Consider the following 24,588-nt stretch of genomic DNA (forward strand, 5'->3'; position numbering starts at 1 on the left):
CTTGGATTAATTCCCGGAGCCTCCCATGTGCTCACAGAGGAAGAAATTGAAGACACAGGCAAGGCGCGTCATTGGCGGCACAAGGACCCTGTGGAGGCGGGATGAGTGTGGATGTAGGGAAATGTACTTGTTTCGTGATGGGAAGTTGAGGGAATTTTTGCCCAATTAATAGCTTATATTTTCCCTAAGAGTTTTTCTTAAGAATGGGTAGATTGAGGGTGTGGGATCACATGCTTGAGAGTAGAGGGGATGTAAAATCATTATGTGGAGAGCTGGAGAACAACCTGATGAAGGAAATCAAGTGAGCTGGGCAAGGTGTGGAGTCCATTTGAGATTGAAGATCAATAAATTATCGTGGTATTGGTCTGTCCTGTTGTGTGAATTATTTTTTAAATGTTTCCCGGCAGCTCAGGTCCAAGTGTCAGGAAAGCAGGTAGTTGTATTTGTCCTGGATGGGGCTTTCTTGGATGTGACAGAAAGACAATGAGGCAAGGGAATTTGGGGAAAAAATGTTCAGTTTTTAACAAATGATGGACAGTTAGGAGAACTAAGCTGGACTAGGAAGTGAAAATAGGTGAGTCTGATAGAGTAGAATGAACTGTGCTTGGAAGACAGGTGCCATGGGAGTAATCGGGTAATTAAGCAGCGAGAGTCTCATTAGGGTGAGAGCGGAGGCATCTGAGTGAGTGGATCTGGAGGTGACGGTGGAGGTCAGCGTTTGGTTTTGGCAGTCGTGGCACTCACCTCTCTGAGGGCTTCCCTGTAGGAGGGACATAAATTCAGGAATCATGGCCAAGGAAACATGCTGTTTTACTGGAAACTTGCAGTTATTAATAAATACATTACATAAAAGCAGTGCTGGAGCCTCTATGGCTTAGGGTCAGGGCTTAAGTAAGACAGCCTATCATCTGCCTTCTAAACTTGAGGTGGCCCAGTTTGGAAAGCCGATTTCCTGAGGTAGAGCAGAGGTGTGTGTCATTGACTGTTACGGCCCCCCTCCTGAGTAGGGAATTGGGACCAGTGAGTATTCTCAGGATGGGTGGGGCTGAAAAGAAGGGGATGAGTGTTTGCTCCCCAGTGGAGACAAGCAGAAATCTGGGAGGGGGAGAGTATTTTCATGTATGACAAGATCCGGGGTGTGACAGTTTGTGCACGGTTACCCAGCTGCCTTTCCCTAAAGACACGGCCTCAGGGCAGGAGCCCCCCAAGCTGTGGATGAGCTGCTCAGAGTTCTGAGCTGGGGAGGAAAGGGGCTTCTGGGCGGGCACCAGCTTGGTCTGGAAGGATCAGAAGATGAAGACTTGCTCCTCTCCCACCACCCCACAGATGCCAGTTGCCATGACAACAGGTGTCTTTGATATGAAAAGGACATTTTGGGGTCAATTGGCAAAACTTAAATGGGATCTGAGGAATAGAAGGTAAAAATTGGTCAGTGTTAATCTCCTGATATTGATTGTAGGAGAACATAGGAAATACTCACTGATGTCTTCCCAGGAGTTAGCCATTACACTAGGTATTTATGGTTTAGGAAAAAAGTATTTGTACTGTATTTGTAAGTTTGAGATTTTCAGAAGGAAAAAATTAACTATTTCTGGAAGGAGCCATTTTCAAAAAATGGCTCTCAGCTAGGACCCCAATTAAAAAGTAAGTGGCTGGGCATGGTGGGTCATGCCTGTAGTCACAGCCCTTTGCGAGGCCAAGACAGGAGGATCATTTGAGGCCAACAGCCTGGGCAACATAGTGAAACCCCATCTCTACAAAAAAAATTTTTTAATTAGCTGGGTGTGGTGGTGCACACCTGTAGTCCCAGCTACTCCAGAGGCTGAGGTGGGAAGATCGCTTCAGCCCAGGAGCTTGAGGCCGCAGTGAGCTATGATTGCACCTCTGAACTCCAGCCTGGGCAACAGAGTAAGACCCTGTCTCTTAAAAAAAAAAAAAAAAGTATGTGGGTGACTCCTTGTTAAAGCTTTTAGGATTCTCCTCAGCTTTGATCATACTTGGCCTCTTGTGCATGTCTGTGTCTGTGTGTATTTTAGGTGTTTTTACTGTAAAGATGTTATTAAAGCTAATTTTGAAGAATGCAGAGGTGTGTACTGAGAAAATTCCCCGGTTTCCCATTCTCCAAATCTGACAGCTAAAGTAGCCTAACTTTTCCAAAATTTTCTGTGCACATACATGCCCTTAGATTTATGTGTGTGTGTGTGTGTGTGTGTGTGTGTGTGTGTGTGTGTGTGTGTATTTCCTTTACTATCCAAATGGAAGTATTTTATACATATTAATACTTTTCTGCCACTTTTTTCTTTAAATATATTGGGACATGGTAACACATCAGTACATGTAAAAAGATGGCTACTTTATTTGCTACATAATATACCTTTTTAGCTGAACCATAATTAATCAACATATTTTACGTCCATTTTAGTTGTTTCTAAATGTTTTTAAACTACTACAATGTCCAGGTATATGATTATTTAATTTTTTACTTTTTATTTTTATTAATTTTTTTTTTGAGACAGGACCTCGCTCTGTTGCCCAGGCTTATCTCAAACTCCTAGGCTCAAGCAATCCTCTCCAGGTATATATTCTTAACACATATGGATACATTTATCTGTAAGATCAATTTATGGAAATAATGTAATTGGTCAAAAGTTACATGTATTTTTAATATGTAATATTTTCAAACTATTTCTAAAAAGGTAGCAGCACTTTATGTCTTCTGAGGCCTCATACTTGTATCTCCCACCTGAGCAGACTCAAAACATTCTCAATTGCTCTTCTTTGCCCATCTCGGAAAGACAGTCCGATTTCAGTTTGTGTTTGAGTAGGCTTTGCCGCCTCCCTGTGAATGGCCTTTTCAGTCCTTTCCACACTTTATTGGTGTCACTGATTGGAAGAGTTACTTGTTAGATAAAGAGCCCTGCTTGCGATTACTTCATGACCATAGAGGTGTTTTAAATTTTTATATACTCAGATTTATTGATCTTTTCTCTTCTGGTTTCAGGGTTTTGTGTCATGCCTAGAAAGACCTTTTCAAAGATATGTTTGAAAATGTATCTGAAATATGTTTCAAAAAATATGTTTTCTTCTGATACTTCCTTTTTAAAAAAATCTTGGATTCATTTGTAATTTATTTTGATGTAGGGAGTATGGCGGGAATTCGTATATTTTCCCAAATGGCTGGCCTGTGGCCTCAACACCATTAATAGGATGTCAGGACACTTCCTTCTCAGTTTGTGGGTTTTAAATTAGTAGGTCATCATTTGTGTCTCAGAAGTGTAGCAGTTATAAAGGAGGCGGAAGAAAGGAAACTGAGAAATAGGAAGTACTTATTAGTGATACAGATCTTGGTTGGTACAGGACACACTGCATTTAGTCTCAAATATGCTGTAGGTTAGGAAAATGAAAATACGGCCTGAAATGTGCATTTGGGGTTGGATGATTTCTGTCATGTCAGAATGTGACCTTGTTTTTCTCACTCATTTGATTTATCAAATAGTTTATGGCCACTTTGATTTTTTAATATCGGTATAATTGCCATCTGTGGTTATTCATTAATGAGCCTTGACTTTAGTTTGCATGCTGATTTCAGTCCCCGCCTTTATCTCATTTGTGGTTTAAATGTAATACTCAGTGTTCCTGTAGTGGATGTATACATAGTATTTGGAGTTATATCTGGGCTGTTGCCTGGGACTCAGGCCTTGAATTGAAGGTGTGCCTGTGCTTTTGACCAGTTGGTTTCTAACATGACTGGGTGTGGGTTCCACCACTGCCTTTGGATTTTAATGTCAGCCTTAGGTAATATGTTCAGACCTGGAAATCTAGATTTGCTCCTGAATTCAGATCTCAGTTCTTTCATCTCTTAATTTCACCCATGTCTTCCTGTTGAATGTTTACTTTCACATTAGAAGACCAAGAAGCAATTTTGCATGATATACAAGGCAACTTTGGCCCATAAAGGTCATCTGTTGGTATATTAATGATTTTATAATTAATCTGAATAATAGGTCAAAAACCTTGGGGGAGAAATTAATTGAAATTTAAAATGCGCATTAAAAGTGTTCAAAACTAATAGAATGGGATTTGTATGTTGAGCACCTAAGTAGTAGGTAGGGTGACTGTTTATCTGTGTGCACTATTTGATTCTTGTAACCATGAGAAATTGGAAGTTGAAAGGCTAACTGGCTTGTTTAGGGTGCTTCATCTTATAAGCGACTGAACTGGTATTCAAATCCAAAGTAAACTTCCTGGTAGATTCTGCTCTAATTCTTTGCCCAAGAGCCCTTTTACAGGTACCACTGTCGGGAAGACCTCCAGCTGGAGTCTTTTAATTACATTAATAAAATATGAGGAAAGCTGGGTTTCAAAGATAACTTTGACTCATGGCATGATACACATTCAACATGAGTCATCAGTTAGTCATGCCTTAGGTTGTAGAATATATGTATGATATATGATAACTACATAATTGACTGTTCCATATTTTTCAGGACTCTTAGCATCCCAAACTTCCCAACCTCCCACTTTGAGAGTGTGGGAATGCCCGTTAATACTACAGCCAAAGGCCAGGCTCAGTGGCTCACGCCTGTAATCCCAGCACTTTGAGAGGCCGAGGTGGGCAGATCACCAGAGGTCAGGAGTTCGAGACTAGCCTGACCGACATGGTGAAACCCCGTCTCTACTAAAAATACAAAATTAGCCAGGCGTGGTGGCACATGCCTGTAATCCCAGCTACTCGGGATGCTGAGACAGGAGAATAGCTTGAACCTGGGAGGCGGAGGTTGCAGTGAGCTGAGATCGCGCCATTGCACTCCATCCTGGGCAATAAGAGCAAAATTCAGTCTCAAAAAAAAAAAAAGTACAGCCAAATAAGGAGAAGAACACCTGTGGAGAAGAGTAAAGAAATTGCAGTTGTTTTTCTGAACAGAAGGGTGGCTATTGGACCACTTGGGCAAAGGCTGAAATAATACATTTTTGGGCCAGTATTGAAAACTTACCATTAGATTATACAAAATTAAAAATGAACCTATTTAGTCGATTCTTGCAAATGAATTTTGTTAAATGTTACTGACTTCTTCCCATAGGAAATACATTAGAAAATAATATTCTTTTCTATAGGAAAAATATTTTTCCATACCTGAATTAAACTGCCACTTCATTCTGCTTTATAATTGAAACTGAGCTTCTTGTGGATTAACATTACCTGAAATTAACAAATCTCTTTTCTTTTTATGTGCAGGCAGCTATTTTCAAGTTCATCACAAGCTTTTCTACAAAGTCAGAAAGTACACAGCTTCTTTCAGTCCATATCATCAGACTCCCTACACAGTATCAGTAAGCATCCTCTGTCCCTCTGTGGAAATCTTTTTTCTTTGTTGGATTTTATTGCTTTACTGTGTCATTTTGTGTAGGTTTGTCACTTTAGTTAAAGTTAAGGAATAGTGACATACATTTTTAATGTCATTTTTAATGAGTTTTTACACTGCAGTTTTAAAGAAGGTCATGAATAAAAGCTAATATAACAGAGCAGACTGATTCCAAGGTAAGGCCTGAGTCTCTCTAGTCTTTGGGGCATGGCCAGTCCTTCATTTCCTGGGCAGGAACTGTTCCCTCACAGGCTGGAGACCTTACAGTGCCACGTGCTGGTGTATGATCTAGTCTGTCTTCCTCCTGTCACCTGTTCCCAATTGACCTTTCCAGCCGATCAGACAGAAAATGTTAGCCCTGTTCTTCTCACTCTGCCTCTTTGTTTTCATCACGGAAAGGACAACCCATACTAGACAAAGGATGTCTTCCTTTATGTCCCTTCGTCACCATCCCTTTGTTTACAGTTAGGCCTTTCTTTCATGCACGGACTATTAAAGGTAAACCCTCACTCTTTTCTCAGATTCTAGTTTCCCACTCTGATCTATCCCTGGATTATCACAAGGATAAATGTGTTAAATTCCTGCTTGGTCTGAAATTCAGGCCTCACTGTGACCTTCCGGGAGCTTCCTTCTGCTCCCTGTGCTCTGTCTCCTAGCATGCCCAGCTGTTGCCTGCCCTGTGTCTTTGCTCATTTGTACCCTTACTTAAACATACATCCTTTTGTCATAGCCCATTAAAATCACACCTGTTTTAAGGCCCAGCTGAAACATCACCTCTTCCACGAAGCTTTGCCAGTTTTTCTTATGTTCCGTATGTTGAGTTTTGCCCTCTTATTTCACCTTTCACCACTGTCTGCCTTGTGTTTAATTTTCTACACATCTACCTCAGCCTGCCTTTTACAAATATTTTGTCAGTAACATTGGCGTGTCCTTTAGCAGAATTTCTGCTGAACTTCAGGCATAGCTATGGCAAGGAACATTTTTCTTTTTTAAAACTGTCCCTCTGCTCTCAAGAGAGTCATTTTTTCCTGTATTTAAAGGGGAAAGAAAAACACATATTTCCTCAATTTGAGGTGTGAGAAAAAGAGGTGCAAGAATAGTATGATTGTTACACGGGCTAACCTTTAAAGTTTCTCTAATTAAGTGTGTTAATGCTAACGTAATTATCAATCCGAATTAAAAATATGACTCTTTGTGATTAGTTGACCAAGACAAAATGTACAACTTCATGATTAAATTTATGTCTGAATGATAACAACAGCATTTATTAAAGAGAATCCTGATCATTCTGTAGCTATGTAGATTTAACCATCAGTGCTTTCCCCCTGCGCCAAATGTGTTTTTTATTGAACATGTATCAATAGCATCAGTTTAGTTTCAAAAAGGCATTGAATTGAGCACAAAGTTAAACTTTTAGTTCAGATGAACAGGCTGCTCAGGAAAACTCACCCAAGTGAGGAGTTCATATATAAGTAATAAACTCATCTTGAGGGTGTGGCAGTATTTAAATTACATGAGCAGTGCTAAAGAGGTTGGTGGATTTTGTTTTTAGGTTGTAAAATTAAAACACTGTATGAAAGTACAGAACTTGAGATTGTGGGAAATCTTGTCAGCCTAACGTTCTTACATATCTGAGTTGTTTCACTAGTGAATATACTGTTGTCAGGGTTCATTTGCATACACTGTTGGGTTTTTTTTTTTTAATTGATAGCTTTATCTTTTTATTCTCTGGTACAGAGAGCATCACTCCATATCCTGAAAACTAGCGCTGAAAAAAAATAATGCTAAAGTCCTGAATGAGTTAAGATGTTGAACTGTGGAGTCCTGCTGGCCTGTATTTTAATGGGGAAGTAATCCAAAATGTGTTGCATGGGCCAGTGCTGGTCCATAAATTGCTTGTTACTGTTCTGTAACACGAGAACAGAAATTGAGAGCAGACACTGAGAGATTAACAATTTGACAGTGCCACGTTATTTTATTGTATTTTACAAAAGTAACGATCCACAGCAAACTGAAGATTTAAAAAAATGAAAACTGAATCTTTACCACACCACAGATGTTTAAGAAGCACCTTTCTACTTTATTTCCTCATTTTGCACATGAGCACACTGGGGCTGACAGATATGAAATGACTTGTCCAGGTCAGTCGCTCTTCAGGGAACAGCTGGCCTCTTGAACACGGTTCCCACTCACAGTCTAGTGCTTTGGGCTGTGTCATCTTGCCTTCTCACTAGTAGCCATGTTTTCTTCACCACTCACCCTCCATTCATTTTCCTTAGGTAAAAAAACAATTATTATATTTGTTTTCTTTATTTTAATTTTCCTAAAAAGTTAATAGTATTGAATGCTTCCTGCAGATAACTTACAATCCTCTCTGAAGACTTCTAAGATATTAGAACACTTAAAAGAAGACAGCTCTGAAGCTTCAAGTCAAGAAGAAGGTAAAGGTAGATTCACTAGAGTAAATCATTCTGCCTGCTGATAGCACATGGATAGAACATTTAAGGAGTGAAGAAACTGACATATAGGAATTGGAATGTGACAGAGGTTGCATTACAAATAAGTGGAGAAGGAATAGACCATTCAATAAATGGTGTGTGGAGAAAGAATAAATTGTTCAATAAATGGTGTGTGGACAAAGAATAGACCGTTCAATAAATGGTGTTGGCACAATTGATTTTCCATATGAAAAAATAGGTATAATTAGATTCCCAGTTACATCATGCAGAAGACATTCAAGTGAATAACAACTTATATGTAAAATGTAAAACTTAAACTTTTCAATGTTAATTTGGGAGGAGAAGCCTTTCTTGAATAAAGTAGAGCATGACCACGGTAGAGATCTTAATAAATTAGAGCTTCTCTGTGACAAAAGGAACCATATAGCCAGGAGACCATCCATAGATTGAGAGATGGTGTTTGCAAGATATTTACAGATAAGACTATATCCAGACTATGGAAGGATCTTCCTAAAAAGTCAATGAGACAATCATCCCAACAGAAATATAGGTGAAAGACATAAATAGGTGATTCTGAGATGAGGAAACCTGAACAGCTATTACATAATGTGCAGCCTCACTGGTAGTCAGGAAAATGCAAATGGAAACAGGTGTCATCTCACACTCAGCAGATTGACAAAACATTTTGGAGTCTGACATCAAGGATATGAAGCAGTGGGAACTCTCAGGCACTGCTGATGGGGATATAAATTGACAGAACTATTTTGGACGAAATTTGGTGCTGTGTAGTGAAGTTGGAGATAATTATATGCTGCTGTCCAGCAATCCTGCATCTATGAGAATTGTTACACACCTGCAAAAGGGGACATGGGCCCGGGTCCTTGAGGCAGCATTGTTTGCAAGGGCAAATACCAGGAAATTGCCTGAACATTTCAAATGTTAGTAATGTTATAAATAAATAATGTCTTTGTACTAGGTAGCAATTAAAATAAAGGATATTTATAGTACAATTGGCTCTCCATCTCTGCATTGGTGGGTTTAACCAACTGTGAGCTGAAAGTATTTGGGGGAAAAAATTCTTTTTCTTGTCATTCTCTAAACAATACAGCATAACAACTATTTGCATAGCATTTACATTGTACTAGGTATTATAAGTAATCTAGAGATGATTTAAAATATACAGGAGGATGTGCATAGATTACATGCAAATACTGAAGGACAGTTGTATATTGAAACATGTAACAGCTAATGTGTTTATGAGCACACATATATGGATAGTTAAAACTTGCACTAGAATGTTTCAACAAGTAAGCTACTAGTTAGCCTCTAGAGGGATGAGGGGGAGTGGAATGGAGGGAAGACCTTCAGTCATTCCTGTGATATTCTGTTTCTTAAAAGAGGCAAATATGGAGCAGTCTGGAGGGTGGTGTACATGGATGTTTGTTATATTAATAGATACAGGTTTGAATGTTTGAAACTCTTCATTTTTTAATGGTTAAAAAGTTCTATCTGAAATTGGATGTTTTAGTTTTGTAGGGACATGCTCATATAGACTTTCATAGTTTTGAACAAGATTGATTTGCTGTTAGGTGGAAGACATTTGAGAGAACATAAAAGGTAATTCAGAGTTTACTGTGTTTTTGAAAAATTGCTTAAGATGTCTTCTATGTTGAGAAATGCTTAGAAGTGCTTCATACCATCTGTCACCAGTGGTTATGATCATACAAACTAGTAGCATCCTACTGTTGGTTTTTGCTGCAGCATTTAGTGTAATAAGTTACTTTTTCCTCTCTTCTAGATGTGTTGCAGCATGCCATAATCCACAAGAAGCATACTGGGAAAAGTCCCATTGTGAAGTAAGTATCCTCTTTCTAAAACAAAAAGTGCTTTGGTATGTTTTAAAATCAATGTAACATTTAATTAAATTTCTGATGTATTTGGCTATAATTCTGTCATTTTGCTATTTGCTTTTTATTTCTTCACTTTTTCTGTTTCCTTTTCTCACTTTTTTTGCCTCCTTTTGGGTTGTTTTTCTTCTGTGGTTTTTTTTTGTTTTGTTTTGTTTTGTTTTCCCCTATCATCTTTGATAGTTTTACAATGAAAGTTCTTCTAGTGGCTACCCTAGAGATAATATTACATATCTTTGACTTATTAAAGTTGGATATTTGTGCTTGTACTGGTCCCAAACAATTTGAGGACCTTAGATTACTGCAACATCATTTATTTCCCCCTAACTTGTAAGCCGTGGCTGTCATGCATTTTAATTCTCTGTATAATTTTAAATTCCATGAAACCTCTTTGTAGTGTTTGTGTACTCATTCCTTCCTGTGTCTCTGAGCATCCACCTATGATCATTTTCCTTCCAACTGAAGAACACTTGAGTATTTCCTATAGTCACATCGGCCAGTGATGAATGCACTCAAATTTTTATCTGGAAAAAATGTTTATTTTGCCTTCATTTTTACAAGATACTCTTGCCACATGTGGACTTCTAATTGGGCAGTTACTTTCCGTGAGCTTTTGAGAGCATAGTTTCCTTATCATCTGGTTCTCCCTTTATTTCCTTGCATCTTATTCTCTCCACTCACCTCCAGTTTCTCCTGCAGATCCCATAAAACCGTCTGTGATTTCTTACTCATACCACATTAGCGCTGTGCTCCTCAAGTATGAGCCGTGACTTTCCATGTTCCGCCTTAGGGCCTTTGCTGCTCACACAGGAGTCTGCCTCCATCCTTTTTGGGTCTGTCATTCTGGGAGGGCCCAGAAGCTCGGAGCTCCTGATGCTTCCAGCCTCCACTGTGGACTCTTCATTGCAGTCCTTCGCCATTTCATCCTCTCCACTCCCTTGCTCCTGCTTTTTGGGATCACTTCCCAAATAAACTCTGTTATGCTGGACTCTGATTTTGAGAGGAACTCACACTTAAGTCATCTGGCATCCAGAGTTTCAATCGGTCTTACTGCTGCTCTTTTGAAGATAATACGCATTTCCCTCTGATTACTTTTAAGGTTTTGTTGTTGTCTGGTTTTCAGCAGTTTTCCTAGCTTCCTTTGCATGAATTCTTGAATCTGTAGCTTGATGTCTTCTGATTTTAGAAAACTAGCTTTTTACTTCTTCAAATATTTCTTCTCCGCTTTTCTCTTGCTCCGTCTTCCAAGACTCCAAATCCTTGTATGTTAGATTTTTCACCATGTCCCGTGGTTTTTTTTGTTTTTGTTTTTGTTTTTTGAGATGGAGTCTCGCTCTGTCACCCAGGCTGGAGTGCAGTGGCGCAGTCTCAGCTCGCTGCAACCTCTGCCTCCTGGGTTCAAGCGATTCTCCTGCCTCAGCCTCCCAAGTAGCTGGAACTACAGGCACCCGCCACCATGCCTGGCTAATTTTTTTTTTGTATTTTTAGTAGAGACGGAGTTTCACTATGTTGGCCAGGATGGTCTCGAACTGCTGACCTCAGGTGATCCACCCACCTCAGCCTCCCAAAGTGCTGGGATTATAGGTGTGAGCCACCGTGCCCAGCCGTCCCATGTCTTTTAAGCCTTTTTTGTTTTTCACATTTTTTTCAGTCTCAGTGCTTTAATCTGTTTTCTTCCGACCAATTTTTTCTTCATTGATTTTCTTCATCTGTTTCCCCTTCACTAATTTTCTCCATCTATTTCCCATTTGTTGAGTTTGTAATATTAGTTTATTTTATAAGTTCTATAATTTACTTTTTTTTTCTTTTCCAAATTTCTCTTCCAAAATCCTCAGTATTGTATTTGTCAACCATGTTAAGCACTGTTACCTGAAAGTCTGTGTCCAATAAGTTTATCATCTGAATTCTGCTGGGGCCTATTTCTCTTGTCTGTTTCTTTTGGTTTTTGATCTCATTATCCTGTTCCTTCATGTGCCCAGTTACTTAAGTGCTCATGACAGCAGTGCTCTCAAGATGCAGGTTGTATAAGCCTCTCTGTCCCAGCTGTAAGCAGTGTATGATGATCACCATCGCATAGTGTCTAAAAGCAGAGTGTGCAGCTGTTACTACTCTTTTTAGAGACAAGTATTAATGATAAATAGATGTGTAGTGGTTTATTTCTCATAGTATACTTTTTTTTCTTAGACCTATCATTAGGCATTCCTTGAAGAAACTAATATATTGAAGAAAGGGTTACTGTAACTTCTTTGTTGAAATGAAATAGGTTATTATTGAGGGCAGATTTTCACACTTTCATAAACTTTTCTTTGGTAGCAATATTGGTACAAGTTGTTCTCCATTGGATGGGCTTACCATGCAATATTCTGAACAGAATGGAATTGTGGATTGGAGGAAGCAAAGCTGTACCACCATTCAACACCCAGAGCACTGTGTGACCTCGGCTGACCAGGTGTGTGGGGAGTTTGTTTTGGAGCTATATAGTTAAAGCATTGCTCCTCTATAAGAAAAAAATTAAGTTCTGTAAGCTTTCAGTCAGACAGTATATCTGGTAAGAAATGAAGGAATGTTTAAGTTTTAGACTTTATACTTATATATGATCTAAGCTCTTCTGAGACCTGAAAATGTGTATTTAGATTACTTTTATTGCTTGTGTAAGATTAGTACACTTTAATATGACACCTTCCCAGGCGCCATGGGTCACGCTTCTAATCCCAGCACTTTGGGAAGCTAAGGCAGGAGGATTGCTTGAGGCCACCCATTTGACCAGCCTCGGCAACATACTGAAACCCTGTCTGTATAAAAAATTTAAAAATTAGCTGAGTGTGGTGGTACACACCTGTAGTCTCAGCTACTCGGGAGGCTGAGGCAGGAGGATCACCTGAGCCCAGGAGTTCAAGGCTGCTGTGAGCCATGATCACACCACTGTACTTCTGCCTGGGCAACAGAGTGAAACCCTGTCTCTAAAAAATAAATTTAAAACAAAATAAAAATTTTAAAAATAATACCTTCACTGTTTAACAAAGGTGTACATCAGATTGTTATGCCAAAATTTTTTGGTCTTGAAAGAATTAGAATTCAGATTTCAATCACTGCCTTGCTATTTGTGATAGAAATTTTCCAACTGACCTTTCTTCATGAATATTTGGGTCAGTTTATTGACACTTCAGAATGCATTAGGGGATGTTTGCTTTCTTAAGATTTGGGTGTGATCAGAGAGCAGAATGCTGTTAAGTATGTTTCATGTCGTATGGCCTCGCAGATATGGGGGGAGGTCCCTGTGTATATGTTACAAGTATGGAATGAAACTTCTCTCTAGAAAATTGATTCATTAACCCGATGTTGTCCCTGGCCAACGCTCAGATCCAAATGTTAACTCTTCTTGGAATGTGTTTTTATGCATTAAAGCATATTCTGAGAAATTATAAATAGTTTTAGTCATAATTAGTGACCTATTTTCAAAGCCCGTCTGAGTTTACTTTCCCTCCCCTACTCCAGTGCCTGCACCCTCTCTTCTTAGAGTTGACGTAGTTAAGTGTTGACAGTTATATGGAATTGTACTTGAAGAGAATAGTAGTAAACCTACAGCAAGTGCCAGTCACTTGATTGTGTTTCATTTTATAGTCAGAAAAAAGAATGTAGGTCCATTTTCAAAGAAAAATAGAAAATAATACTGTATTAATCATGAGGAAAATATGTAAGTGTCACAGAATATGTAAATTTTAGTGGTTCAGGTGGGAAACTTCAAAAATAGGTTGGAAATCAACACTTGTTAGAATATACAACTGGGAATCTATCATTTTAATGTTTATTATGAGAGTAAAAACGTCAAAATGGTTTAGCTTTTGTCTGATTTGTCTTTTTATTCTTTCTACTAGCATTCTGCTGAAAAACGGAGTTTATCTTCAATAAATAAGAAGAAAGGAAAGCCACAAACAGAAAAGTAGGTTCAATTTAAGGAAAGACAGCATATAGCCTTTGATAATAGGCCTGTTTAGTTTATGATAGTATACAACATAGTATTTTTTTAGTTAGTTTTCTTTATATTTTTAATTCTGGGTTTTACTCTTTTGGTTCAAAATATTAATATATGCAGGTGATAAAAATAAAGCTACTGTCAAATATTGCATTCAGTTTGGAGGGGTAAAACTCTCAGAACTTTCCACGGAAGGGCGAATCTTAATTGTATTTAGATTATTCCTTACTAAAAAAATTTGAAGAGTCTTGAAGGAAATTTTATCAATACTGTACTGAATGTGTTTGGTAGATAACCTTATTAAAATGTTGGCAATATGTTCATTTGGTTTAGGGAGAAAATTAAGAAAACTGACAACAGATTGAATAGTAGAATAAATGGTATTAGACTCTCCACTCCTCAGCATGCCCATGGTGGTACTGTGAAAGGTAAGAAGGTTATTTTTCTTTCAAATACCCATCACATAAATATATTCAGCATGATACTTACTGTATTAATAGATACTGAGCTGTTGTGTCAAATCCTAATACTATAAGTTTACCTTGTGTTGATATGTACAGCAATTTCCAAATTAAACAGTTCTGAAATCAATGGAGTTAATTTAGGGAATACAAACCAGCCATGGGGGTGGAGATTGCCTTTGCCTCAGTGATTCTCACCTGCCTCTCCCTTCTGGCAGCAGGAGTCTCCCAGGTTGTTCTTCTCCAGCCAGTTCCAACTCAGGAGACAGGTCCCAAGGCCATGGGAGATCTCTCCTGTGGCTTTGCCGGCCGCTCATGAGAGTGTTTTTGTGTAAAGTATTTTTTAGAATACTGTTGACTTCTTCATGATTTAATAACCATCCTTTGCGAAGTTTTATGAGGCTTTAGGGGAATGTCAACCCTCAAATTTTTGTTATACTAGATGGCTTCCATTTACCCACCACTATTTTAAGGTCCCTTTATTTTTAGGTTCAAGGTTCATTTGACTTGAGAAAGTGCCCTTCTGCAGCTTCATTGATTTTGTTTATCTTCACTATTAATTGTAACGATTAAAAAAGAATAAGAGCACGCAGACCTCTAGGAGAATATTTTATCCCTGGGTGCCCCTGACACATTTATGTAGTGATCCCACAAATGTGATTGTTAATTTAAATGTTATTCTAATATTAGTACATTCAGTTGTGATGTAATATGAATAACCAGAATCTATTTCTTAAAAGTTTTGAGTATATTTTTCAACTAGATATTTGTATAGAAAGACTGAATAGTGATGAAGAAAAAAAATAGTTACCTTTTGAATCTGAAATAATCTGGGCCAGACACGGTGACTCACACCTGTAATCCCAGCACTTTGAGAGGCCAAGGTGAGTGGATCACCTGAGGTCAGGAGCTCGAGACCAGCCTGACCAACATGATGAAAACCTGTCTCTACTAAAAATACGAAAATTAGCCAGGCGTGGTGGCACATGCCTGTAATCTCAGCTACTCGGGAGGCTAAGGCAGGAGAGTCGCTTGAACCCGGGAGGCAGAGGTTGCAATGAGCCACGACTGCGCCATTGCACTCCAGCCTGGGCAACAAGAGTGAAACTCCATCTCAAATAAATAAATAAATAATAAATTAAAAAACTAAAATCATCTGGCCAACTCATTGAAGCATTGGAAGTGGGAGTAAAATAACATGGACAAAACCCATCTTGTCTGTAGAAGGATCTTGTAACACTTACTATCTCTGAGGTTCCCTCTGGTGGCGATGGCAGCTTAACGGAGGAGGAACAAGCTAAATGAGGAAGACAGAAGTCTGTCGGTGGACATTTGGAGATTGATGCTGCTGGCCCTCCCTGTCTCTGTTCCTTCTCTTTCTAGTTCATTTTCCATACTGCTGCCGTGTTTGTTTTCTAAAATACCATTTTCTGAATGAAATTCCTGCCCTCCACAAGCTCACTCTGTCTCTTGTCTCACAGTGTTTGGGAACTACTGCTCACTAAAGAAGTTTGCAACTGTTTTTTCGATGTTAGCCCATTTCCAGAGGAGAAGCACGTGGACGTTGGTCAGAGACAGTTAGGGTTTGAGTGTTGTGCTCCCCCAGTTTATTAAGCATGTGACCTCTCTGATGCCTTTGTTTGCTCATTTGTAAAACAGGAGTAATGCCTGCTTCAGCAGATTGTAAGAATTACATGTAAAAACATGAAGAGCATTTTCCTAGTTCCAAGTACCTAGGTGTTCACTGCAGCAATTTAGTTCCTTTTCCTTGTTCTAATAAATTAGAGGGAAACATACATTGTATAGGTTATTAAGAACTTTGTAACAGCATCACAAACTCCCATTCATTTTTTTCCTTAATTTTCAAGTGTTATGAAAATAACAACCTCAGCGTATTTTTCAATTTTATCTATTTTCTCCTCTATATCCGTCACCGATTTGTATGTATTTACATTTATAAAATGACTGAATGAAATATTTTTTGTACAGCTTGTCTTATTGATATCAAGTGCAGCGCAGATGTATGCCAATTCCAACTTTTAAAAAACCCCTCTGTGTATTAATTTTTCTTTGAAATATTAAGGCACCAAGGAAGAATTGTCTTTAAGCATTCAGTAAACTCAGTACGTGCCTAAGGATTTTTTTATGGAACAACAGCTCATATCATAAATTGGAGAGACATTGTCTTGAAGCTGAAAATACTGAGTCTTTCTGATTAGCAGGTTGTTTGGATCTTTAAATAATACATTTTAGCTTAAGATTTGTATTGTTTTACTTCTTAAAAATTTATTATTAAATTTAAGTTTTAACTTCTGTTTTGAGTGATAATCCATTTATGTAGCTCAGAATTTCAAAAGAAAACAAAGATCGCTCCCAGCCCTCCTCTGTGCTGGCTCCTGCCAGGACGCAGTCAGCGCCGTCAGCTGTCTGTGTTGTTGGAGTGTCTTTTCTGTTAAAACCCAAGCTTTCTGAAAGTCTGTCTTCTGAAGAGGTGCATATTACCTCATATAGAGCGTTAAGAATGCTCACCATGGCCAGGCGCGGTGGCTCACGCCTGTAATCCCAGCACTTTGGGAGGCTGGGGCCCGGTGGATCACTTGAGGTCAGGAATTTGAGACCAGCCTGGCCATCATGGTGAAACCCTGTTTCTACTAAAAATATAAAAATTAGCCAGATGTGGTGGTGCACACCTGTAATCCCAGCTACTCGGGAGACTGAGGCAGGAGCATCACTTGAACCCGGGAGGTGGAGGTTACAGTGAGCCGAGATTGCACCACTGTACTCCAGCCGGGGCGACAGAATGAGACTCTGTCTCAAAAAAAAAAAAAAAGAATGCTCATCATTGTAGTTTATTGCCCAGTGTTTCTTCCACCCCACTCTTCTGTTGCCAATTGTGGCACCAAAAAATTTAGAGGGAAATGAGATGCTTGATCTCTCAGTTTCTTGTAAAAGATTTAGAAGGTCTCTAGCTTCGTTTAATATCCCAGATGAAATATGTGGTTCTGTTGCCTATGATTTATTTAAATGAGTCTTAACTCTAACAGACTTCTATTGTTTATAATTACCAATTTCCAGTATTTTTAGTGTTAGAATAGTGGTTTATGTTTTACTTTTTGTTTTTATTATGTGCAAGACCCTTTATCATTTGAGACATGACAAATTCAGTTTGTGTGTCTTTTTAAAAGGGCAATTTGTGGAGTATCCTTTGGCATAATTGGTCTGTCTTCACTTTCCACATCCCCTGAATCTCTAGAGGATCACATAATTTCTGATTATAAAAGTTCTTAAGGTACCACACAATTCTGAAGTACCTTCTGAATTATCAAAAAAAAGTTACGTTAGTATAGATTTAGATTTATGTATTCAGTTCTTTGGAAGCTGCGGTTTTGTATATGGCAATTCGTGATTAGAATATTCACCAGCTTGCACAGTGTAAAGAAAATAGTTTTGTAAATTATGCCATTTGGAGAGGTAGCTGCTTTTTTTAAAACATATTCTGAAATTTGCTCTTTGAACTATAGTCTACTGTAGTTTCACTGTCTGCATCATTTTGATGAACGCTACCCCTGAGGTTCCTTTTCAGTCCATTTCTAGTTTGAGAATATCCTGTTGAATCTTTGATTCTCTTGATCTTGGGTTGTTCATTTTGTTATATGCTGGTTGAAATATTTATATGCAAGACTCATGCAAGTTCTATAGGTTTCATCATTAGTCCAATTTAATGACAACTTATTTGGCCACTATGGCCCGTTAGCTTGTCTTCAAGCAGCCATTGGTGGTGTTGACTTGCATCCCTTTAGTCGCCTTATGATGGGTCATTCAGGGCCTGTTGCTGTGTAGGTATCCTCCAGGTAACTTTTCTGTAAAATTGTTACTTGCCCATGAACTCCTCTGCCACTTTTCCTTCTAGCCTCATAAGATTTTGTGCAGTTTTCCCTTGACAGTTTGACATTTATTACTCAGAAGGAATTTAGCAACATCAACATTCCTAATGACTTTATTTTTCTTCAATATTCACCTAACATTTGAGTGGCTGGGCTAATCTAGGTCATGTTTAACAGTCTTAACACTGTTACAAATTTATCCCAGCCAAAACCACAAGTCAGTTGCCTGCATTGCTCATTATACAAATTGTGCCTTTTCTCTGACACATATTTTGCCCGTGCAATTAATACCCATTATCTTTTACTGGTTCTACCAGTTGGCACAGAAATGATTCACTAATCTATAGTTCTTAAGAAGCCTCTGGAATCCCTTATTTGGGGATTTATACACCAAACATATATTGAATGCTTGCTGTAAGGCAGAATTACGCTAGCTACTGGGTTTACAGAGATAAGAGAATATTTCCCTCAGTCAGGGCCACTACAGGAAAAAAAAAATCCAAAGTTTGTATCTCTTGTCCAATACTAGATACACCGATAGTCCCTCCTTATGTGCTCAAAACAGATACGGCTAGTTGGTCATGGCAGGTCCTGTCACCACCTCACACTACCTCAGTATAGGCTTGAACTTGGCAGAACTCAGGGGACTATTCAGTCTACTAGATGGGAAGCATTTTATTATTTTAAATACTCCAAGTAATTTTCATTGAATAGGCATTTTGGCAGCCCTTTTCTTCTTGAGTTCTTTTAAAGAATGAATTTTCCAGCAAGCTCTTAAGAGTTAAAATATCTAGACTTAGAAAGTAGCTCAAAGTGATATTATTGGACAGACCCTGCAACCAACCTTAACTCGTTTTTTCTTTGAAGTCAGTAAGATTGACTTATTCTGTGCATTGTTTTAAGGATATATTTATTAAGTATTTTCTATTAGAATTGTAATTTAATCAGTTTAGATCAAGGACAAGCTTTTTTAGATGGTTGTGGGGAAACTGAAGAAAATATAGCTAAAATTAATTTCTAATGATTCAACTTAGAAATTAATTTAAAATGACTTAACATGATTTTTTAAAATAGTGTTGTTATTTTTAGATGTGAATTTGGACATTGGCTCTGGACATGACACATGTGGAGAAACATCTTCAGAGAGTTACAGTTCTCCATCTAGTCCCCGACATGATGGAAGAGAAAGTTTTGAAAGTGAAGAAGAGAAAGACAGAGGTTTGCTCTTTGAAGTGGGAGTATTGTTGGCATGGCAGGGGTGGGGAAGTGGAGGGAAATGTGTGTTGTTTCTTCATGTCAAAGTCAAACAAGGAATTTTATGATCCTATAAATGCCATTAACTGATTTTAAATGTAAAGTCGTTATAAAGGATGTCGTATAGATCATTGCCTTAGAAATTCCTAACAATGTTGATTTGATAAACATATTTCACTGCATATGAAGTTAAGTAGGATGAAGACAGGATCATAATGAGGTAGAGTTAGTGTAGAAAGAAGGAAAATGTGTCTTGTTAGATGCATATGTATGTTTATGCTCTTTACGTCCTCTCGATTGATTGACCCTTTTATCATTTTGGGATATCCTTCTTTGTCTCTAGTAACAATTTTTGTCTTAAAGTCTATTTTGTCTGAGAATAGTATAGTCGATCCAGCATTCTAGGTACTGCTTGCACAGTATTTTGTTTTCTATCCTTTTACTTTAAACCTATTTGTGTCTTTAAATATAAATTTTGTCTCTTGTAGACAACATATAGTTAGATTATGGTTTTTTATTCATTCTGCCGATCTCTGCTATTTGTCCATTTACATTTAATGTAATTACTAATAAGGTAGGTTTTATGTCTGCCATTTTGTTGTTTTCTCTGTGTATTATGTCTTCAGTTCCTCGTTGCACAGAGGCTTAAAATCAGCCAGCAGTGAGAGCTTAGGGCCTTCTCAGGTCTGCCTTGGAAAGGTATGTAACTATAGGCATGAGCAAAACGTTTTAGGTTCCCAGGAATATATTAAAGCTTTTCAAAGCCTCCTGTAGCCATCTTATTCCCCAGTTTTTCATTTTAAGTTTTCTGGTCAGCCTCTTGTCAGCCCCAGCTAGTAATGCCACCTTGGGCGGCTACATTTTTAAACAGTTGCTTCTGACTAATTATGACAAATGTCCTGCGGGTAAGAGGCTGTAACACAGAGTGAGTGCTAGCTGCCAGACAGTCAAATGGTGACAGTTTGGTGGTGGGGCTTTTGGGGAACTCGAAACCCATACTCCTAATGGCTGCTGGGTTTTGTAGCTACTACTGCAAGAGAGATGGTGTTTGCACTGATTTCAGAAAGTGAGGTACAAGTCATTTACAGGGCTACTTTAGAGCTGTAGAAAGGGGGAGTGGAAGTAGGACAAGGGGAAAATGCCTTGAGATTTTCTTTTCTTACAGATCGAGCTGTTTTTCTTGAATAAACACTCGTCAGAGTGCTGTAAGCCTTTAGTTAATTTCCAGAATTTTGAGAAAGTTGGTTATTTGACAGTTTTTGCTAGGGTTTTCATTGCTTTTATGGAAGAGTGGATTATTAGAGGTCTTACTCTACCATTCTGGTATGGAGGTGAGATCTCTTTAAAAATGTGTATGTTGAATGAGGATGTCATTCTTTATGCATGATGACAACGTCTGATTGGTAACACCTTGGTTACAAGGTGTACCCATGCTGGTGGGCAGCATCAAGTTACTTCTCATGGTCCACCCACAGATTAAGATCCTTACCACATATTGTTTCAGCCAAGTGTGGTTTCTTCCTGGACAGTCTGCAGCTCTCTGTGACATTAGCTTCTTTCTGTGTTGTGGTATCACGCTATGTCTTAGGGAGCTATGGTATAGAGTGTTGCTACATGATATACAATTAAAGTCAGCTTTTACTTTGCAGTTACTTTGTAGTCATACCAAATGTAGCATAGTTACTCTACCACCAATTCTTCTAATCTGAGGCAACACTGTACTTCTAATCTGCAGTTTCCTTGTGAAAGAAAAAAAATGAAAACAACGTCTCACTGAGCTGTTTTGAAACTTAAATGAGAGGATTTTTTTCGTCTTCTTTTTTTAAATTTATGAGACAGGGTCTTGCTGTGTTGCCCAGGCTGGTCTTGAACTCCTGGGCTCAAGTGATCCTCCTGCCTTGGCCTCCCAAAGTGTTGAGATTATAAGCATGAGCCACTGCACCCAGCATTAAATGAGAGGATTTTTATGCCTTACCCAGAATAGACAAACTTTCAGTATGTTTCATTGTACATTTATGCTTGATTCTCTAGGATAAGCAGGTGACTCTGTGGCTCACACTGCAGATTTGGCCCTGTCCGAAGTGTTAGTGTACATCTGTACACTTGGGTAATGACAGCATCCCTCTTCTGCCATCAGATGGCACAAGTTGGAGGCCTGTGTGGAGGAACTTGGCTTTTTTCAAATAGGCTGTTATTAAATATGAAAGAATGGCTTAGGGCTGTCTTCACCCAAGGAAAATATCCATTATGGTAGAGAGTTTTGATCATTTTTAGAATTCTGAGTGGATGAAAAGTCTCCTTTGAAAAGGGCGTGGGTGGCTTTGCTGTTGCTCTCCTGGGTAGTGATGGTATTTCTGTTTGGGGCTTTACACTTACCGAAATCAGTGCACAAAAGGGTGAGACATGTCTCAGCATGTCTAGAGGAGTCTCAGGATGCTTAGAAAACCAACTGGGAGCATTAAAAATCATGAGGCCATTTGCTATTTCACATAGAAATTTAACGCACTTCTTCCAAAATGTTTCTGCTTCTTTCAGACTTAACATTTTTATCTTTGACTGTGCACTGGTGTGATGATACAGATAAAATGCCTTCAATAAGTTTGGATTTTGGGATAGTTTTTATTTTGCAAAGTTTAGCAAGAAATACCCCAATTATTAATCTATTAGGGGAAGTTTATGCTAGAACCATTCACTCTTTGAGTTTCTTCTAATATAAATTAAAATCATTGAATTAGTAATACTGTTGATGTTCTGTGTCAGTAAGTAGCTTTCATTTAATCTTTCTTCAGGAAGACGAATTCGTTTTTAGTGTTCTGTTTGAAAACTTTTTAATATCTGAAGCTGAATATAAACAGTTCATACCTTAATGAATACAAATATTTTAAGTACCTAGTACAATTCAGCTTATCCATACAAGCAGAAAGATTTTTAAATAGGCACTACATTTTAATGGAATGGTCTGTGTATACATCAACACAGTGTCTGGGTCTATGATGTTTAAACATTGTGAATCAGATTTTATCCTTGTCCCCTTTATACCAAAAGTCAGGACATCCCCTGAAGGCTAGGTCCACGCTATTTCTGTACACAAGCGTAAGACTGATGCAGGAGTAGTAGCCGATGCAGTGTTGTTTGTATTTGCTGTTTTGCTGTTTTGATTTTGGAGAAATTGCCACACTCTCCTATTCCTGTTTCTTGTGTTCTAGCGTGTTTGTTTTATGATTAATAATAGCTTTAAATTTTCTTCCCCCCATTGAAATATTTAGTATTAAGAATATTGATTCCATTCTAAAAAAAACAACAACAACAACAAAAGAAAACTCTTCTGTTCCCTGCCTCTAGATATTTGAGTTAAATATTGTCTTGACTGAGCTCTTTGAAATTGTATCATTTATCTGCGACAAATTGAAGAACTTGGGTTGGCAGTGCAGAATAGAAACCAAGTGGATTGCCTGAAGTTTATTAAGGTTAAGAGTGTCTGATGCTCTTCTCAGTACAAAGATGGTGTTACATAAATCTCTTTGTTTTATACTATGTTTCATTCAGACTCCAACTAGCCTTTTATGTTTTGTTTTCTGTTTATATCCCCGTATTTTAAAAATAAAGCGTTGATCTAATATCGACCCATAGAAAGCCGAAAGTTAAAGGGAGGTCAGCTTGGACAGTCAGGAAACATAGAGGGACACTTTCCAAACTTGAGTTACTTTGAGGTATACTCAATGTTTATTTCTAGCAAGAAAGATGGGAGTTATGCCCGTGTTAATATCTCTTTATGTTTGTTTTCTTTAGACACAGACAGCAATTCTGAGGATTCTGGGAATCCATCAACAACTAGGTTTACAGGTTACGGTTCTGTCAACCAGACTGTCACTGTCAAGCCACCTGTTCAAATTGCTTCACTAGGAAATGAGAATGGAAACCTTTTAGAAGATCCCTTAAACTCACCCAAGTATCAGCATATTTCTTTTATGCCAACGTTACACTGTGTCATGCACAATGGTGCCCAGAAGTCTGAAGTTGTCGTTCCTGCACCCAAACCCGCTGATGGCAAAACCATAGGGATGCTTGTTCCTAGTCCTGTTGCTATTTCTGCAATAAGGGAGTCTGCAAATTCAACCCCTGTTGGAATACTAGGGCCAACAGCTTGCACTGGAGAATCGGAAAAGCACCTTGAGTTACTGGCTTCCCCTTTACCTATTCCATCAACCTTCCTTCCACACAGTAGTACTCCCGCTTTGCATCTTACAGTTCAGAGGCTAAAGTTGCCACCACCACAGGGATCTTCTGAGAGCTGCACAGTTAACATCCCACAACAACCACCCGGAAGCCTGAGCATCGCATCACCAAACACTGCCTTTATTCCTATCCATAACCCAGGTAGTTTCCCAGGCTCTCCTGTTGCTACCACGGACCCCATCACAAAATCTGCATCCCAAGTGGTAGGACTCAATCAAATGGTGCCTCAAATTGAGGGAAACACAGGGACAGTCCCTCAGCCTACCAATGTGAAGGTAGTTCTTCCAGCAGCTGGCCTCTCAGCTGCTCAGCCACCAGCTTCCTACCCCTTACCAGGCTCTCCCCTTGCTGCCGGCGTGTTACCCAGCCAGAACTCCAGTGTGCTCAGCACAGCAGCAACTTCTCCCCAGCCAGCGAGCGCAGGTATCAGCCAGGCCCAGGCAACTGTTCCTCCTGCAGTTCCTACCCACACCCCAGGCCCTGCCCCGAGCCCAAGCCCTGCCTTGACACACAGTACCGCGCAGAGTGACAGCACCTCTTACATCAGTGCTGTGGGGAACACGAACGCTAATGGGACAGTAGTGCCACCGCAGCAGATGGGCTCAGGTCCTTGTGGTTCTTGTGGGCGAAGGTGCAGCTGTGGGACCAATGGAAACCTTCAGCTAAATAGTTACTATTATCCTAATCCAATGCCTGGACCAATGTACCGAGTCCCTTCATTCTTTACTCTGCCATCCATTTGCAATGGCAGCTACCTCAACCAAGCACATCAGAGCAATGGAAACCAACTTCCTTTTTTTCTGCCTCAGACTCCATATGCAAATGGACTGGTACATGACCCAGTCATGGGGAGCCAAGCCAACTATGGCATGCAGCAGATGGCAGGATTTGGGAGATTCTATCCTGTATATCCAGCACCTAACGTAGTTGCCAACACCAGTGGTTCGGGGCCCAAGAAGAATGGGAATGTCTCATGTTACAATTGTGGTGTAAGCGGACACTATGCACAGGACTGTAAGCAGTCGTCCATGGAGGCCAATCAACAAGGTAA

At 39.1% G+C, this 24,588-nt stretch overlaps 1 protein-coding gene across 2 annotated transcripts in view, besides 1 other annotated feature; it reads left to right on the forward strand.

Moving 5' to 3' along the window:
• ZCCHC2 (zinc finger CCHC-type containing 2) overlaps window positions 1–24,588 on the forward strand; it is a 63,705-nt gene that overhangs the window by 27,942 nt on the left and 11,175 nt on the right. For both annotated transcript variants that reach the window (NR_126534.2, NM_017742.6), the window contains exons 6-13: window positions 5,237–5,331; window positions 7,721–7,804; window positions 9,621–9,678; window positions 12,043–12,178; window positions 13,605–13,669; window positions 14,036–14,130; window positions 19,137–19,265; window positions 23,091–24,584. Coding sequence is in view for 1 of the 2 variants with exons in the window: in NM_017742.6 (NP_060212.4) it covers window positions 5,237–5,331; window positions 7,721–7,804; window positions 9,621–9,678; window positions 12,043–12,178; window positions 13,605–13,669; window positions 14,036–14,130; window positions 19,137–19,265; window positions 23,091–24,584 (2,156 nt within the window). In the remaining variant the exon portion in view is untranslated. The remainder of the gene's footprint in view (window positions 1–5,236; window positions 5,332–7,720; window positions 7,805–9,620; window positions 9,679–12,042; window positions 12,179–13,604; window positions 13,670–14,035; window positions 14,131–19,136; window positions 19,266–23,090; window positions 24,585–24,588) is intronic.
• Window positions 7,536–7,635: a silencer, noted in NCBI's record as "silent region_9514". NCBI's record gives its function as "represses an Ori minimal core promoter by ATAC-STARR-seq in GM12878 lymphoblastoid cells {active_cell/tissue: GM12878}" and the evidence as "EXISTENCE:reporter gene assay evidence [ECO:0000049][PMID:35858748]".

The sequence above is a fragment of the Homo sapiens genome, chromosome 18, assembly GCF_000001405.40.
Source record: "Homo sapiens chromosome 18, GRCh38.p14 Primary Assembly".
Lineage (NCBI taxonomy): Eukaryota > Metazoa > Chordata > Mammalia > Primates > Hominidae > Homo > Homo sapiens.